Here is a 15420-nt window from a genome sequence, read left to right on the forward strand (position 1 = left end):
AGGCAGACATGTTTTTGTGCAGGAAAAATCAAGAAAGACATGAATATTTACATGAAGAAAACTGTGAAATTACCAAAGAAAAGATTCAGCTGGAGAAAGAAATGGACTACTCTTTGAAATTGTTTCCAGAAGGAAATCTTTGCTTTGATTTCATTTTCTTCAGCACCCAATCCCAAGGAAGCATCCAATCCTCTCTCGTCTTGTTCTGCATGTCAGAAGACAGAGTACCAGTTCTGAAGGTTCCTCCTTGAGATCCCTTTCATGGATCTGGTTTAAGTCCGAGAGCATATAATCTGCTATGTGGAGCTCAGTGCAACAAAGGCATTGGCCAATTTCCAGCAATTATCTGAGAAATTCTATTTCAGACACTAAATCTCCAGCTTTAATCAACTTGCAAATCCCAATCATCCCCAGCAGTGAGCAATCACAGGTCTGAAGGAAGCAGTGATTGTGTCTGTGACCCCAGAAGACCTCTTTCCATCAGGTATCATTTGGAAATCCCTGGGGTCTGATTGCCTCGTATTAAACTTTCATTATTTCCAGATAAGGTATCTGAATAGAGGAAATGATGCCCAGGTGCTGGAAGGGCTGCTAACTTGGGGCCAGCTGAAACTGCCTGTGTCCCGCAGGCTGAAAATTGAGGAAGGGAAACAATGACCCAGGAGATAGATGTGTATTCTGTTCCTTTGTATCATCAGAAGTCTGGCTTGACCAGAGGTTTTTCTCTCAGCAGCTTTGGTGGTGATATCTCTGTGGCAGCCACCTGAGGGTAATTGATTCCTTGGCTAATTTGGCTTGGGTGCCAGCAGCCATTTTGAGGCAACATTCACCCAGAGCTTCTAGCTTAACCTCAGCAGTTAAGCATTTTTGGCACTGCCAAAAGTTGTCACCTCACCCTGCATAACCCCCAAAGGCAGTGCTTGTAGTGCACAGCAGGAGTTGAAATTGTGTGTGTGTGTGTATGTGTGTGTGTGTGTGTGTGTGTGTGTATATATCAGCAAGTGGGATAGATTAGCTCTTAATGAATGAGCACATAAAGATGATCCATTCCAAACATCTGCAAGTATAAAACCACATGCCTAGTGAAGAATTTTTTTCTGTTCTAATGTAAGATCTACCTAGAAAAGAATATCACAAAACTTACTGTTTTATGAGTTAACAGAAAAAAAAAAAAACCTGTTTCTGGTAGTTTTCTAAGTGTTGAGGTAGAAGGAAGAAGACAGGAGGAGCCAAAATTTGCATTTAGAAAATGAGGTCTTCCTCCCAGAACTGCCAACACAGATTCTCTATAACACTTTGTTGAAAATTAATTCTCTCCACAGAAACAATAATTGAATTCTAACCAATTTTTTCTTTTTAAAGAAGTAGATTATATTTAGGCTATAATTAAACCCAGCAAAAAGATCATAGGCATTTCTTCAACTAGGTCAGAAATTATGAAGTTAGGTGTGCCAACACTACTATCAGACACACCTGCCAACAATTTAGCATCTTCCCACTTCATGCTTCTCTGAACAGCAGGAAATGTTCAGCGTTGTCACAAAGCTGCTTTCCTCTGCTTTGCTACACAAGCATCTTCTACCTGCAGTATTTTTCGTGGCTTATTTTTCCTATCTTGCAAAAAGAAACCGCACCTACCTGTTCCCCTATCTACAAAGGTTCCTCCCATAATTTTTTATTGTTAAAGTCTTCATTCCCTTTTATTGATCAAATTTGAACTTTATGCCTAAGATACTTGTATTTCTTTTTTTTTTTTTTCACTTTTCTGGTTTTTTTTTTTCTTGCTTGGGTTGCATATTCTGCAAAACATTGAGAAATAATATCAGAAGACAGTTACTACCACATGCTCTGATATGATGATGTGGCACTTGCCACAGGCCAGGTGTCCTTTGAGGGATGGTTAATTCTGCCGGTGCTCCTCAGAAAGCGAGAAAAACCTGGGAGTTTATGCCGCTGTTTCTGACCACATAGTAGGCCTCATCCAATAACTAGGAATATGAAAGCCTAATATCAGGATAATCCTGAGACATAATTCAGATTTTCCCAATGGGATCAGGCTGGAGATAACCTTCACAGGATTTTGCTTGAAATTTTATCCCTGCAGGGGGGTTTCTTCCTATTTCCGGTATCTAGTGTTGCACAATAAGCCACCCAAACATTAGTCTTCTATCACTGTGAAACTACCCCAAATTTCAATTTTCTATTGCTTCATAACAAACTATTCCAAAGCTTAAAACTGCAATTATTGTATTTGCTCATGATTCTTTTGGTTGGGAATTCAAACAAGGCATGGCAGGGATTGTTTGTCTCTGTCTATGATGTTTGGGACCTCAGTTGGGATGGCTGAAACAACTGTAGGGGCTGGATGGACTGGCTGGACTGGCTGGACTGGTGTCATATATCTGGGGCTTTGGTTTTCACTGCCAGCTGGATTCCTCAGTTTTCTATTCCATGTCACCTCCCCATGGTGCTAGCTCAAACTTCACAGCTTGGTGGTCTCAGGTGGTCGGGTTACTTACATGGCAACTGGTTACTGCTGGGGACAAGCAGACACTGCTAGGCATCTTAAAAGACAGGCCTGGAATTAGGCCAGAATCATTTCTACCATGTCTGTTTGTCGAAGCAAGTTATAAGGCCAACTCTGATGGGAGGGGAAATAGACCCCTCCCTGGTGGGTGGAGTGGTTTGTGCAAACATGGAGGAAACGAATGGGAGGCAGCCACCTTTAAAAACCAGTTACTACACTCCGCTCCCTGTCCTCCTTGCTCTTTTACAGCTTTCTCCTGGGAGCACTTTCTAAATGAAATCACCTACACATAAACTCTCATCTCAGAGTCTTGCCTCTGGGAAACCTGACCCTAAGATAAAGCTTATTTCAATCCAAAGATTTCAGCCTCCTGTTCTAGGAAGGTTTGTTACTAATGTGGACTAAATCCAAGTCTCCATGCTGACATCTGCAAAACCCCAGGAGCAAGCATTATAACTCTAAATCAGGGGATCCCCAATTTGGGATACTCACTACAAACACTTCGGAGCTCAAGAAAAAAAAAAAAAAAAACCTTTATGTTTGGGACCTACTCCAGGGATTCTGAATTCACTGGGCTGGAATAAGATGTATGCATGGATATTTTCAGTATTTTTTTAAAGTTCCCCTGCTAATTCTAATGTGGAGTCCAGGTTAGGAACCACTGTTCTGGCCAGGTGCAGTGGCTCACACCAGTAATCCCGCACTTTGGGAGGCCCAGGTGTGTGGATCACGAGGTCAAGAGATTGAGACCATCCTGGCCAACATGGTGAAACCCCGTCTATACTAAAAATACCAAAATTAGTTGGGCGTGGCAGCACACACCTGTAGTCCCAGCTACTCAGGAGGCTGAGGCAGGAGAATCACTTGAACCCAGGAGGCAGAGGTTTCAGTGAGCCGAGATCGCACAATTGCACTCCAGCCTGGCAACAGAGCAAGACTCCATCTCAAAACAAAAAACAAAAAACAAAAAAAACCCACTGTTGTAAGTAGTTCAAGCCATGAAGACTGTGTGTGGGAAAAAGAGGATGAAAATACCACAAGGTATCCTGTGAAGGCAAAAAATAAATAACCCTTAACCAAATCACCTCTTGCCCTGGGGCCAAAATCTTATAGCTGCCATCAAATAACATGGGTTGCAAATCTGGTTTTCAAATCCAGTTGCTCTAGGTTTAGGAGCGGAGAGGCTTCTTTTACATGTCTTGTCTGAATAAAAGTCACATACATATACTCTACTAGTTCAGTTTAGAAAAATTAATTCCAGTCATTGTGTACCCTTTGCCTTATGGCCTACAGCATATTAAATGTTATTTCTAAATCCTACTACAGTTTTATAGAAATAGTAATATCTAGCCTTCTCTTTACTAGGGACAAAGAACAATCTTGGTTATATTCGCACCTGAGTTGGAAAAAACAACTTTCAGTGCCATTTATTAAACTTCAAGAGTGTAATCTGATTATTAAAGTTCCATAGTGTAGAATAATATTTCAGAGTATAAAGGACTCACAGACACTTTTCCTGGCTAATTCCACAATCAATAGGACAAAATTTTCCCTTTTCTTCTTGCTGAGTCTCTTAATCTTTAAATGATACAGAGGAGAGAGTGTTCTAACTTCCTGTAATTACATTTTCTTGTTAAACTTTATCCTTAGTCCTGATTCTCAATTTGGTTTCTATAATCACTGGTTTTTATTCTATAAAACTTTGTTTTGTAATTAGCAAGATAGAGATCAATGTAACACAAAATATGTGCTAACACAGAACCAGGTTTTGCTCTTCCATGCATGAACGCCAAGTGTAGAGAAGATAACCTGCAAAAACAGTTCAAGGGAAACTTGATCTCATCCCAGAAATAACAGCCTCCTCTTTCATGGGAGGCAGCAATCTTAAAATGTTGCATTTCAACACTGTACCTCCCCTTCTTGCCAGGAATTATAACATAGTAACATCTCTGAAATGGTGATATGTCTTATAATTGTCATCGTTTAATTGGCAGGTTTTTTCCTTTCATAATGGTAAATAAAATAATGGTAAATAAAATAAGACCTTAAAACTGACAGTGTCTTAGTTTTGATGAAATATGGCAATCCACACTCACCCAGCTAAAGAAAGCATGGAATAAATTTCAAATTAAAATGCAGATATGTGAAAGGCAAAAAGAAAAAATTGAATTTCCTGTCTAATGTAGCCCCTTTTGGACCCTATCAGGAGCAAACAGCAATAACCAAAGCTTGGAGTGCTATATGCAGGTCACTACATATGCCTTCTCTCACCTATTGCAATTTTGAGAATATTGCCCACATTTAGGATAAGCTCTAAGAGACTATCTTAACAGTATAGGTGTTTTTTTGTTTTGTTTTGTTTTGTTTTTTAAGATGGCTGACTAGAGGCATTGTAAGCATGCCTCATCCACTTAGAATTACCAAAAAATATGTAGACAGTCTTTTTTTTTTTTGAGCTGGAGTCTCCCTCTGTCGCCAGGCTGGAGTGCAGTGGCACGATCTCAGCTTACTGCAACCTCCGCTTCCCGGGCTCAAGCGATTCTCCTTCCTCAGCCTCCTGAGTAGCTGGGATTACAGGCGCCTGCCACCACGCCCAGTTAATTTTTGTATTTTTAGTAGAGACGGGGTTTCACCATGTTGGCCAGGATGGTCTCGATCTCCTGACTTTGTGATCTGCCCATCTCTGCCTCCCAAAGTGCTGGGATTACAGGCAGGAGCCACTGTGCCCCGCCAACATTCACATTTTAAACACATTATCCAAGGTGGAATGTGGGAGTCTGACAGAAAAAAAAAATGATAGGAAACACTAAAATCTAGGAAGGAGAAGGAAAATGTGCAGCTTCTGTGGCTAGGATTGGCCCGGAACTGGTAGTGAATCCCTCAGTACAGGGGAAGGTGAGTGAGTGTCTTCCTACAATTTACCTTCTCACTTGGGAACTGTACTATCCAAGCCATAGGAGAAACACTTTGAGTCTTCTAAGCCCTGATTCTGACTTGGGAGCAGCCAGGAGACTGTAGGAAGGAACCCCAAGGAGGGAACACACTTTGGGTCTCACACTCTTTCTGGGACCTGAGGAGCTACAATAAAACACCATTCTTGATCCTTGCTTTTAACAGACTATGCTCAGTCCTGGAAACCAGTGGCACCAGTCCCGGGCATTGGGGAAACTCAGGCTGCTGCTTCCAGAGTGGGGCATGGGGCCTAGGTAGGGGTGTGGGGGAGGCTTTTGCAAACGGGACTGAGAAGCAAGTGTGCTGTGGGCTGCAGCTGCTGGTGCTACATGTGGACAACTCCTCCACTTGTCCTGAGTAAGACAAGAGTTGCTGCAGAAACTTGGACATGAGCTGGGAAGAGGGCCCCCATGGCCCAGCGCTGAGTTCCAGGCTAGGCATGAACTACCAGGTCTGACTGAACAGCCAGGATGGGGGAGGGATCCCCCAGCTGCAACAGCCAGGATGGGGGAGGGAGCCCCACAAGCACTGGGGCATGAAAAGGACATAAGTCCCCCAGCTGCTGGCCAAGGCTGTGGCTGCTGAGACTGCTGGGACTGGCCACCCCCACCACATGGTAAGACCTCACTGTAGTGGTGGTTGCCCCTCACCCAAGCATTTCTCCAGGGCCCAAGGATCAACCCACCTCACCCCCAACTCCTCATCACAGCTAGTCCATGCACTCATCATTGGGGGACCTGTGCACAAGTTTGCCTGGTCTGGCTCTGCTTGGCTTCACCCCACCCTCTGAGACAGAGTGCAGGATCCATGGTCCTGGGGGTTCCATAACCCAATCCACCACCTGGGGCACCTAAGCATTTATCCTGGGGGACAGAGGCTGGACACAAACAACATATCACTACCACCTCAAGTATCTGCAGGTGCTTGCTTCTACCTGCAAGCACCACCTAGTGGCCTGGAAGCCAGCCTGCATGGCCCAGAAGCCAGCCTGCATGGCCCATTGCAACTGCCAACACAAAAGCACAGCACTTGGGAATCAGAAGAGCATCTCACCACTACTGCTACCACCATTGCCCACATCATGTGGCTGCCCAGGAACCCAAGAGCCTACTCACCCAACCAGTCCACCACTACCACAACCAGCATTGAGAAAGGCACCCAGAGCCCAAAAATCAGCCTGCTTGGAACCACCAACACAAGTATCAGAATACACTGCCACAGAACACAAGGATAGACATGCTTAGCCCCACTGAAAGCTAAAGACAGACCAATCTGGCATTCCAGACCCTAGCACAAGTTCACCACAGCCTCCACCAATAACCGCACCCTAACACACCAAGGAAACCACAGATACCACTGATGCTATTTATAGCCAATGAAATTATAGTAGTCTTCCCTACTCCATGCACCCAAAAGCAAACCCAACCAACATCATAGTCACATATTCAGGAAAAAGCCCCCCCAGTGAAGGAAAATTCAAAAATAAAGAGAAGCAAATGCTGTAAAGACATAAGAAACATGAAAAAGCAATATGACATCCTCAAAGGAACACAATAATTCTCCAGCAATAGATCCTAACCAAAAAGCAATCCTCAAAATGCCAGATAAAGAATTCAAAATATTTATTTTTAAAAGTTCAATGATGCAAGAGAAATATGAAAAGCAATACAAAGAGCTCAAAACTCAATTCAGGAAATAAGTGAAAAATTTATCAAAGAGATAAATATCTTTTTGAAAAAAACAGACATTCTGGAACTGAAAAAGTCATCAAAGCAAGAACAAAATACAATCGAAAGTTTCAAAAATAGACTAGGCCAAGCAGAATAGAGAATTTCAGAACATGAAGACAAATATTTTGAAATAATCTAGTCAGGCAAAAAATAAAGAAAAAAGATTTTTTAAAAAATGAACAAAGCCTTTGAGATACTTGGGACTACAAAAAGCAACTGAATGTATTAATTGTTAGTATCCCTGAGGGTAAAGAGAAATTGAAAGGCTTAGAAAACCTACTTAACAAAGTAATAAATGAAAACTTCACAATTCTAGGAAGAGATTTAAATATCCAGATATAGGAGTCTCAATGATCCCCAGAAAATACAATGCAAAAAGTACTTCACCATGGCCTATTGCAATTCAGGCTGTCTAAAGTCAAAGTGACAGTACAAATTCTAAAGTCAGCAAGAGAAAAACATTTTATCATCTATAAAGGAAACCCTCTATCTGACTAAAAGCTAATTTCTCAGCAGAAACTTTACAGACCAGGAGAAAATGGGATGATATATTCAAAGCACTAAAAGAAAAACACTGTTAGCCAAGGATACTATGTCCAGAAAATTTATCTTTCATAAATAAAGGAAAAATAGTCTTTCCCAGACAAGCAAAAGCTGAGGAAGTTCATCACCTCTAGAGCAGCCCTCCAATAAATGCTTAAGAAAGTTCTATACTCAGAAGCAAAAGATTAATAGCTACCATCATGAAAACACTCAAAAATATAAAAGGCATTGATAGAGCAAGCAAACAAGGAAGAGGAAATTAGCAAATGTTACCACTGTAGAATACCAACAAACTACAATAGTAAACAATAACAGAGAAATAAAGGGAAAAAATAATATATATAATTACCAGAAATCAAGTAACAAAATAACAGGAATAAGCCCTGATATATCAGTAATAGCCCTGAATGTAAACAAATTAAACTTTCCACTTAAAAAAAAATATAGACTTGCTCAATGGATTTTTTAAAATGACTCAAGTATAGGCTGCCTACAAGAAACTCATCTCATCTGTAAAAACATGTACAGACTGAAAGTAAAGGCATGGAAAAAGAAGCTACATGCAAACAGAAACCAAAATTAGGCAGAGTAGTTATATCAGATAAAACAGACTTTAAATCAAAAACAGTAAAAAGAGACAAAGAATCTCATTATATATTGATAAAAGGATCTATTCAGTAAGAAGATATAAAAATTCTAAACATATGTACCCAAAACTGAAGCACCCATATATATAAAGCAAATATTATTAGATTTAAAAGAAAAGACAGGCTCCAATACAACAATAGATAGGAATTTCAACACCCCATTCTCAGCATGAGACAGTTCATCTAGACAGAAAATTAACAGAGAAATATTGAATTTAAACTGCACATTAGACCAGAAGGACCTAAAAATCATTTACAGAACATTTCATCCAGTGGCTGCATAATACACATTTTTCTCATCAGCACATGAAACATTATCCAGGTTAGACCATATGTTAGAACACAAAACAAGTCTCAACAAATTTCAAAAAATTGAAATCAGACCACAATGAAATAAAGCTAGATATCAATAGCAAAGCGAACTCTGGAAATGATACAAATACATGAAAATTAAACAACATGCTCCTGAATGACTGAATGAAAGAAATAAGGAGTAAATAAAAAAATTCTTGAAACAAACAAAAATCAAAACCCAATATGCCAAAACCTACAGGATACAGCAAAAGAGTGCTAAAAGGGAAGTTTGTAGCAATAAATGCCTACACCAAAAAAAAAAAAAAAAATAGAAAGACTCCAAATAAAGAAACTATTGATGCATCTCAAGGAACTGGAAAACAAGAACAAACCAAACCCTTGGTAGAAGGAAAAAAAGAAAAATCAGAGCAGAACTAAACTAAATAGAGACCAAAAATACATATATACACACAAGGGATCAGTGAAACAAAAAGTTGGTTTTTTGAAAAGATAAACAAAATCAATAAACTACTTGATATGCTAACCAGGAAAAAATGAGAGAAAACCCAATAAAATCAGAAATGAGAAAGGAGGCATGATAAATGATACCACAGAAATACAAAAGATCATCAGAGACTATTATGAACAACCATACATTCACCAACTAGAAAACCTAGAGGAAATTAATAAATTCCTAGAAGCATGCGACCTCCCAAGATTGAACCAGGAAGCAATAGAAGACCTGAACAGTCCAATAATGCACAGAACATTAAATCCATAACAAAAAAATCTCTGAACTAAGAAAAGCCCAGGACCAGATATATTCATAGTAAAATTCTATCAAACATACAAAGAAGAATTAATCTCAATCCTTCTGAAACTGTTCCAAAAAACTGAGGAGGTGGGAATTCTTTCTAACTCATTCTACAAGGCCAGTATAACCCTGATACCAAAACCAGACAAGCACACAACAGAACACAGAAAACTACAGACCAATATCCCTGATGAACATAGGCACAAAAATTAAAAAAAACTAGCAAATTAAATCCAATGACACATCAGAAAGACAGTATACCACACTCAACTGGGTTTTATACCGGGAATACAAAGATGGTTCAACATACACAAATCAATAAATGTGATACATTACATAAACAGAATTAAGGACAAAATCCATATGATCATCTCAATAGATGCAGGAAAAGCATTTCACAAAATCCAGTATCCCTTCATGATAAAAACCCTCAACAAAGTAGTCATAGAAGAAATGTACCTCAAAATAACAAAGGCCATATACAACAAACCCACAGCCAACATCATACTGAATGAAGAAAAGTTGAAAGCCTTTCCCATAAAAACTGGAACAAGACAAGGATGCCCACTTTCACCACCCTATTCAACATAGTACCGATAGTACTGGCCAGAGTAATTAGGCAAGAGAAAGAAATAAAAGACACCCACATTGGAAGAGAGGAACTCAAATTGTCTCTGTGTAATTTGGAAAACCTAAAAACACCACCAAAACCCTTAGTTTGATAAATGAATCTAGTAAAGTTGCGAGATACAAAAACAATGTCCAAAAATCAATAGCATTTCTATACACCAATAACAATCTAGCTGAGAATCAAAAGGCAATCACATTTACAATAGCTATAAAAATATAAAATACCGGGGGCGAGGTTCTGGCTGGTTGTGCCGTTGCGAGCTGCAGCGGTGATCGCCGCGGCAGGCCCAGAAGTGTATCCTGACTCGTAAATTGACGAAGCCACTGGTGCTGCAAGTGTTCTTTTGGGGTAGTGTCTGGGATCCGGTGCAAGTCGAATCACTGTTCAAATAAGGTGTAATTGAAAAGTGATCCTCTCTTCAGAGCTGTCAAAAACAAATCCAAGTCTGGATCTCGCTCTCCTCGCTCAGGATCTGCATCAAGATCTCGTTCTCGTTCATGTTGGAAGTCTCGGTCCCTAAGGCCATCTGTCTCTGGTTCAAGGAAGTGCAGGCTGAGTTCTAGGTCTCGTTCCAGATTATATTCTCCAGCTCATAACAGAGAAAGAAACCACCCAAGAGTATAACCGAATCGGGATTTCCGAGGTCACAACAAAGGCTATATAGAAGGCCCTATTATTTCCGTGGGCGCAACAGAGGCTTTTATCCATGGGGCCAGTATAACGGAGGAGGCTATGGAAACTACCGCTCAAATTGGCAGAATTGCCGGCAAGCACACGGGCCGTTCAAGATCCCGGTCCCCAGCGAGAAGGTCCCCTTCACCAAGGTCCAGGAGCCATTCTAGAAACTCTGATAAGTCGTCTTCTGACCAGTCAAGGCGCTCCTCATCTTCCCGTTCTTCCTCCAACCATAGCCGAGTTGAATCTTCTAAGCGCAAGTCTGCAAAGGAGAAAAGTCCTCTTCCGAGGATAGCCGGCCATCTCAGGCTACCGGGGATAACCAGGGAGATGAGGCCAGGGAGCAGACATTCTCTGGAGGCACCTCTCAAGATACAAAAGCATCTGAGAGCTCGAAGCCATGGCCAGATGCCACCTACGGCACTGGTTCTGCATCAGGGGCCTCAGCAGTTTCTGAGCTGAGTCCTCGGGAGCAAAGCTCAGCTCTCAAAAGCCCCCTCCAGGCTGTGGTGGTGAGGCAGCGGTCACTCCTTCCTAGCCCCGTGCCAAAACCTAGTCCTCCACTTTCCAGCACATCCCAGATGAGCTCAACTCTGCCAAGCGGTGCTGAGTATCAGCCTGGGACACACCAAGTTCAGTTCGACCGTGGTTCTTTGGTCCCTGAGTCCATCCAAAAACAGCCCTGTGGGTAAGAATTTACCATCCATTGGCTCCACATATGTCTCATCTCAGAAGGAGGAGAGTGCTGCTCCAGGAGGAGCAGCCTGTACAAAGAGGTACCTAGAAGAGCAGAAGACAGAGAATAGAAAAGATAAGGAACGGAAACAAACAAATACAGATAAAGAAAAAATAAAAGAGAAAAGGGAGCTTCTCTGACACAGACTTGGGTGATGGAAAAATGAAATCTGATTCTTTTGCTCCCAAAACTGATTCTGAGAAGCCTTTTCGGGGCAGTCAGTCTCTCAAAAGGCATAAGCTCCGAAGTGACTTTGAGAAGAAGATGGCTGACTTCCACAAGGAAGAGATGGATGATCAAGATAAGGACAAAGCTAAGGGAAGGAAGGAATCTGAGTTTGATGATGATGAACCCAAAATATGTCTAAAGTCATAGGTGCAAACGAAAACCAGGAGGAGGAGAAGTCAGGCAAATGGGAGGGCCTGGTATATGCACCTCCAGAGAAGGAAAAGCAGAGGAAAACAGAGGAGCTGGAGGAGGAGTCTTTCCCAGAGAGATCCAAAAAGGAGGATCGGGGCAAGAGAACCAAAGGTGGGCACAAGGGCTTTCTGCCTGAGAGGAATTTCTGAGTGACTGCTCACAAAGCGGTCCGGGAGAAAAGCTCTTTGCCTCCCCCAAGAAAGACTTCTGAGAGCCGAGACAAGCTGGAAGCGAAAGGAGACTTTTCCACAGGGAAGTCTTCCTTTTCCATTACTCGAGAGACACAGGGCGATGTCTGGATGGACTCTTTTGATGAGGACTTTGCACGACCCAATGGCTTATTGGCTCGGGAACGCAAGCTTTGCCAAGATCTAGTCCATAGCAACAAAAAGGAACAGGAGTTTTGTTCCATTTTCCAGCACATACAGTCAGCTCAGTCTCAGCGTAGCCCCTCAGAACTGTTTGCCCAACATATAGTGACCATTATTCACCATGTTAAAGAGCATCACTTTGGGTCCTCAGGAATGACATTACATGAACGCTTTACTAAATACCTAAAGAGACTAACTGAGCAGGCGGCAGCCAAAAACAAGAAAAGCCCAGAGATACACAGAAGAATAGACGTTTCCCCCAGTACCTGGCTACAACGCTGAGGGAAAATACAAAGATGATCCTGTTGATCTCAGCCTTGATATTGAACGTCGTAAGAGATTTTTTTTTTCCAACAGAGTCACACTCTGTCGTCCAAGCTGGAATGCTGTGGCATGATCTTGGCTCACTGCAACCTCTGCCTCACAGGTTCAAGTGATTCTTGTGTCTCAGCCTCCCAAGTAGCTGGGATTACAGGCATGTGCCACCACCCCCAGCTAATTTTTATATTTCATGTTGGCCAGGATGGTCTCAATCTCCTGACCTAGTGATCCACCCACCTCTGCCTCCCAAATTGCTGGGATTACAGGCATGAGCCACCATTCCCAGCCAGGAGAGAGATCTTAAATTAGGTAAATCGAGAGGATCAGTGGATTCCTGAGACTCCAGGCCCTCGAGGAAAAGGTCAGCTGAGAAAACAGAGAAAACTCATAAAGGATCAAAGAAGCAGAAGAAGCACCAGAGATCGAGAGACAGGTCCAGATCCTCCTCTTCCTCCCAGTCATCTCACTCCTACAAAGCAGAAGAGTACACGGAAGAGACAGAGGAAAGAGAGGAAAGCACCACGGGCTTTGAGAAATCGAGACTGGGGACCAAAGTCTTGGTGGGTCCAAGTGAAAGAGGAGGTGGCAGAGCTCGAGGAACCTTTCCATTTTGAGCCAGAGGAAGAGGCTGGGGCAGAGGCAACTACTCTGGGAACAATAAAAACAACAGCAACGATTTTCAAAAAAGAAACCAGAAAGAGGAGTGGGACCCAGAGTACACACCCAAAAGCAAGAAGCATTACTTGCATGATGACCATGAAGGTGAAGGCAGTGACAAGTGGGTGAGCCGGGGCCAGGGGGAGGAGCCTTTCCTCCGGGTCAGGTCCGGTTCATGTTCCAGAAATCAAGTACCAGACCTAAGCTGGCCCATGACAAATTCAGTGGGGAGGAAGGGCAGATTGAAGACAACAAGAGTGGGACAGAGAACTGAGAAGAGGACAATTTATAGCCCACAACCAAGTAGGGGCCACTCTTGATGGGATTCCTTGCCCCGGGGAGAGAGGTGCTGGGAAGATGGCTGCGAGGAGCTAAACAGAGGAACCTCAAGATGATTCTCAAAATCCTACCCCACCCCTCACCGGCCATGCAGGTTGTACTACCATGGAAGTCATCCCTGGCACTGCCTCCCACTGGACAGAGGAGGCTGGCTGTGGAGCCCAGGGATCAGGCCCAGCTCTTGAGCAGAACACAACTCATTGGGCTTTAGCTGTTTTTCTCATTTGTTGCTGGTGTGTGGCATTGGGGCAAGGGTAGGGCGGGACAGCGATGCTTGAATTTTTGTTTCCTATCAGAAACCAACAGTTTTGTTCTGAATTTCATTTCATTTGGAGCTAAGAAGACTAATTTGATGATTTTCAATCTCTTCTCCCCATCCTGATTTTAAAAGCCCTTCTTTTTTTTTTCTTTTCTTTTTTTAGGCCTATGTAGTAATATTAGAAACATTTAATTTGGGAAACTTTGATTCTTAAAAGAGAAAACAAAGCATGTGAATAAACTTTGAAGTGTTCACCTCAGTTTGGGACCAAATTGCTTGGATCTTTGTAAAAACCAGTTTTGTATGTCAAGGAGGAGTTTAAGGCCTTTCTGACCACCTTGTGTTCCCCTTTTCTGCACAGCCATGTATCACGTGGGGTTGCTCCTAACCACACCTCACGTGCCCCTGAGCCCTATTTCCTGATTTCTTCTGGGCTGGACTTCCCATTCTCCACCAGCAGCTTCGGTATCCCAAACTTTCTAGTCCTGCTGATCCTTCCAGCAATGGGGTGGAAACTGGAGGGCAGTGTCTGGTCTGTTTTCTAAAAAATTTATGAATTATATTGTCTTTACAAATATAAGATGAGAAAATAATTTTTTCAATATTTTTATTAATCCTTTTATAAAATGAAAAACTCCTATGATCGATTAAGGAAGGTGGTTATGGCTGGGTGGTTCATGGAGTTTTTTGGGGTCTTTAGTTAGTTGTTTGTGTTGTTTGTTTGTTTGTTTTGTCTTTTTAACCTTAAGCTGTTTAAATTGAAGCATTCTCAGATGTTTGCGGGGAAACATCCTCTTAAAATGAGTCCTTGTGCTTGTCTTCAGGGGAGGTGGTCCTGAGCAAGTGAATCATAGGGCGTTTATGCATATGTTATACGCAGACTGCACCCACCTCTTCTGAGACTTTGCCTCTTGAGTTGTTGTGCTGCTTTCCCCTTACTTTGCTACATTTCTATAGTTAAGTTAGTTTTACTTGATGATTCATGTTTAGCGGGAAAATGAAAATCTCCCTTAAAATGTTTTTTAACTCTTCCTGCAAATAAATGAAGTGGCAGATGTTACATATATATATATATATATATATATATATATATATATATATATACACACACACACACATATATATATACACACATATATATATAAAAAAAATACCAAAATAAATAAATTTAACCGAGGAGGTAAAACATCTCTATGAGGAAAACTATAAAACACTGATGAAAGAAATTGTAGATGACACAAACAAATGGAAAACATCCCATGCTCATGGAGTAAAAAAATTAATATTGTTAAAATGACCATACTTCCCAAAGCAATCTATAGATTCAATGCAATTCCTATCAAAATACAAACACCATTTTTCACATAATTAGAGAAATAATCCTAAAATTAATATGGAACTAAAAAAGAACCCAAATAGCCAAAGCAATCCAAAGCAAAAAGAACAAAGCTGATGGCATCACATTACCTGACTTCAAATTATATTACCAGGCTATGGTAACCAA

General features: G+C 41.6%; 1 pseudogene, besides 1 other annotated feature; it reads left to right on the forward strand.

Moving 5' to 3' along the window:
- Positions 6400 to 6578: a silencer, noted in NCBI's record as "fragment chr3:31490161-31490339 (GRCh37/hg19 assembly coordinates)". NCBI's record gives its function as "represses an EF-1alpha promoter that drives an FKBP-Casp9 reporter gene in an ReSE screen in phorbol 12-myristate 13-acetate-treated (for megakaryocytic differentiation) K562 erythroleukemia cells {active_cell/tissue: K562(+PMA)}" and the evidence as "EXISTENCE:reporter gene assay evidence [ECO:0000049][PMID:32094911]".
- Positions 10374 to 13822, forward strand: THRAP3P1 (THRAP3 pseudogene 1; annotated as a pseudogene).
- The last annotated feature ends 1598 nt before the right edge of the window (positions 13823 to 15420 follow it).

This window comes from Homo sapiens, chromosome 3 (genome assembly GCF_000001405.40).
Source record: "Homo sapiens chromosome 3, GRCh38.p14 Primary Assembly".
NCBI lineage: Eukaryota > Metazoa > Chordata > Mammalia > Primates > Hominidae > Homo > Homo sapiens.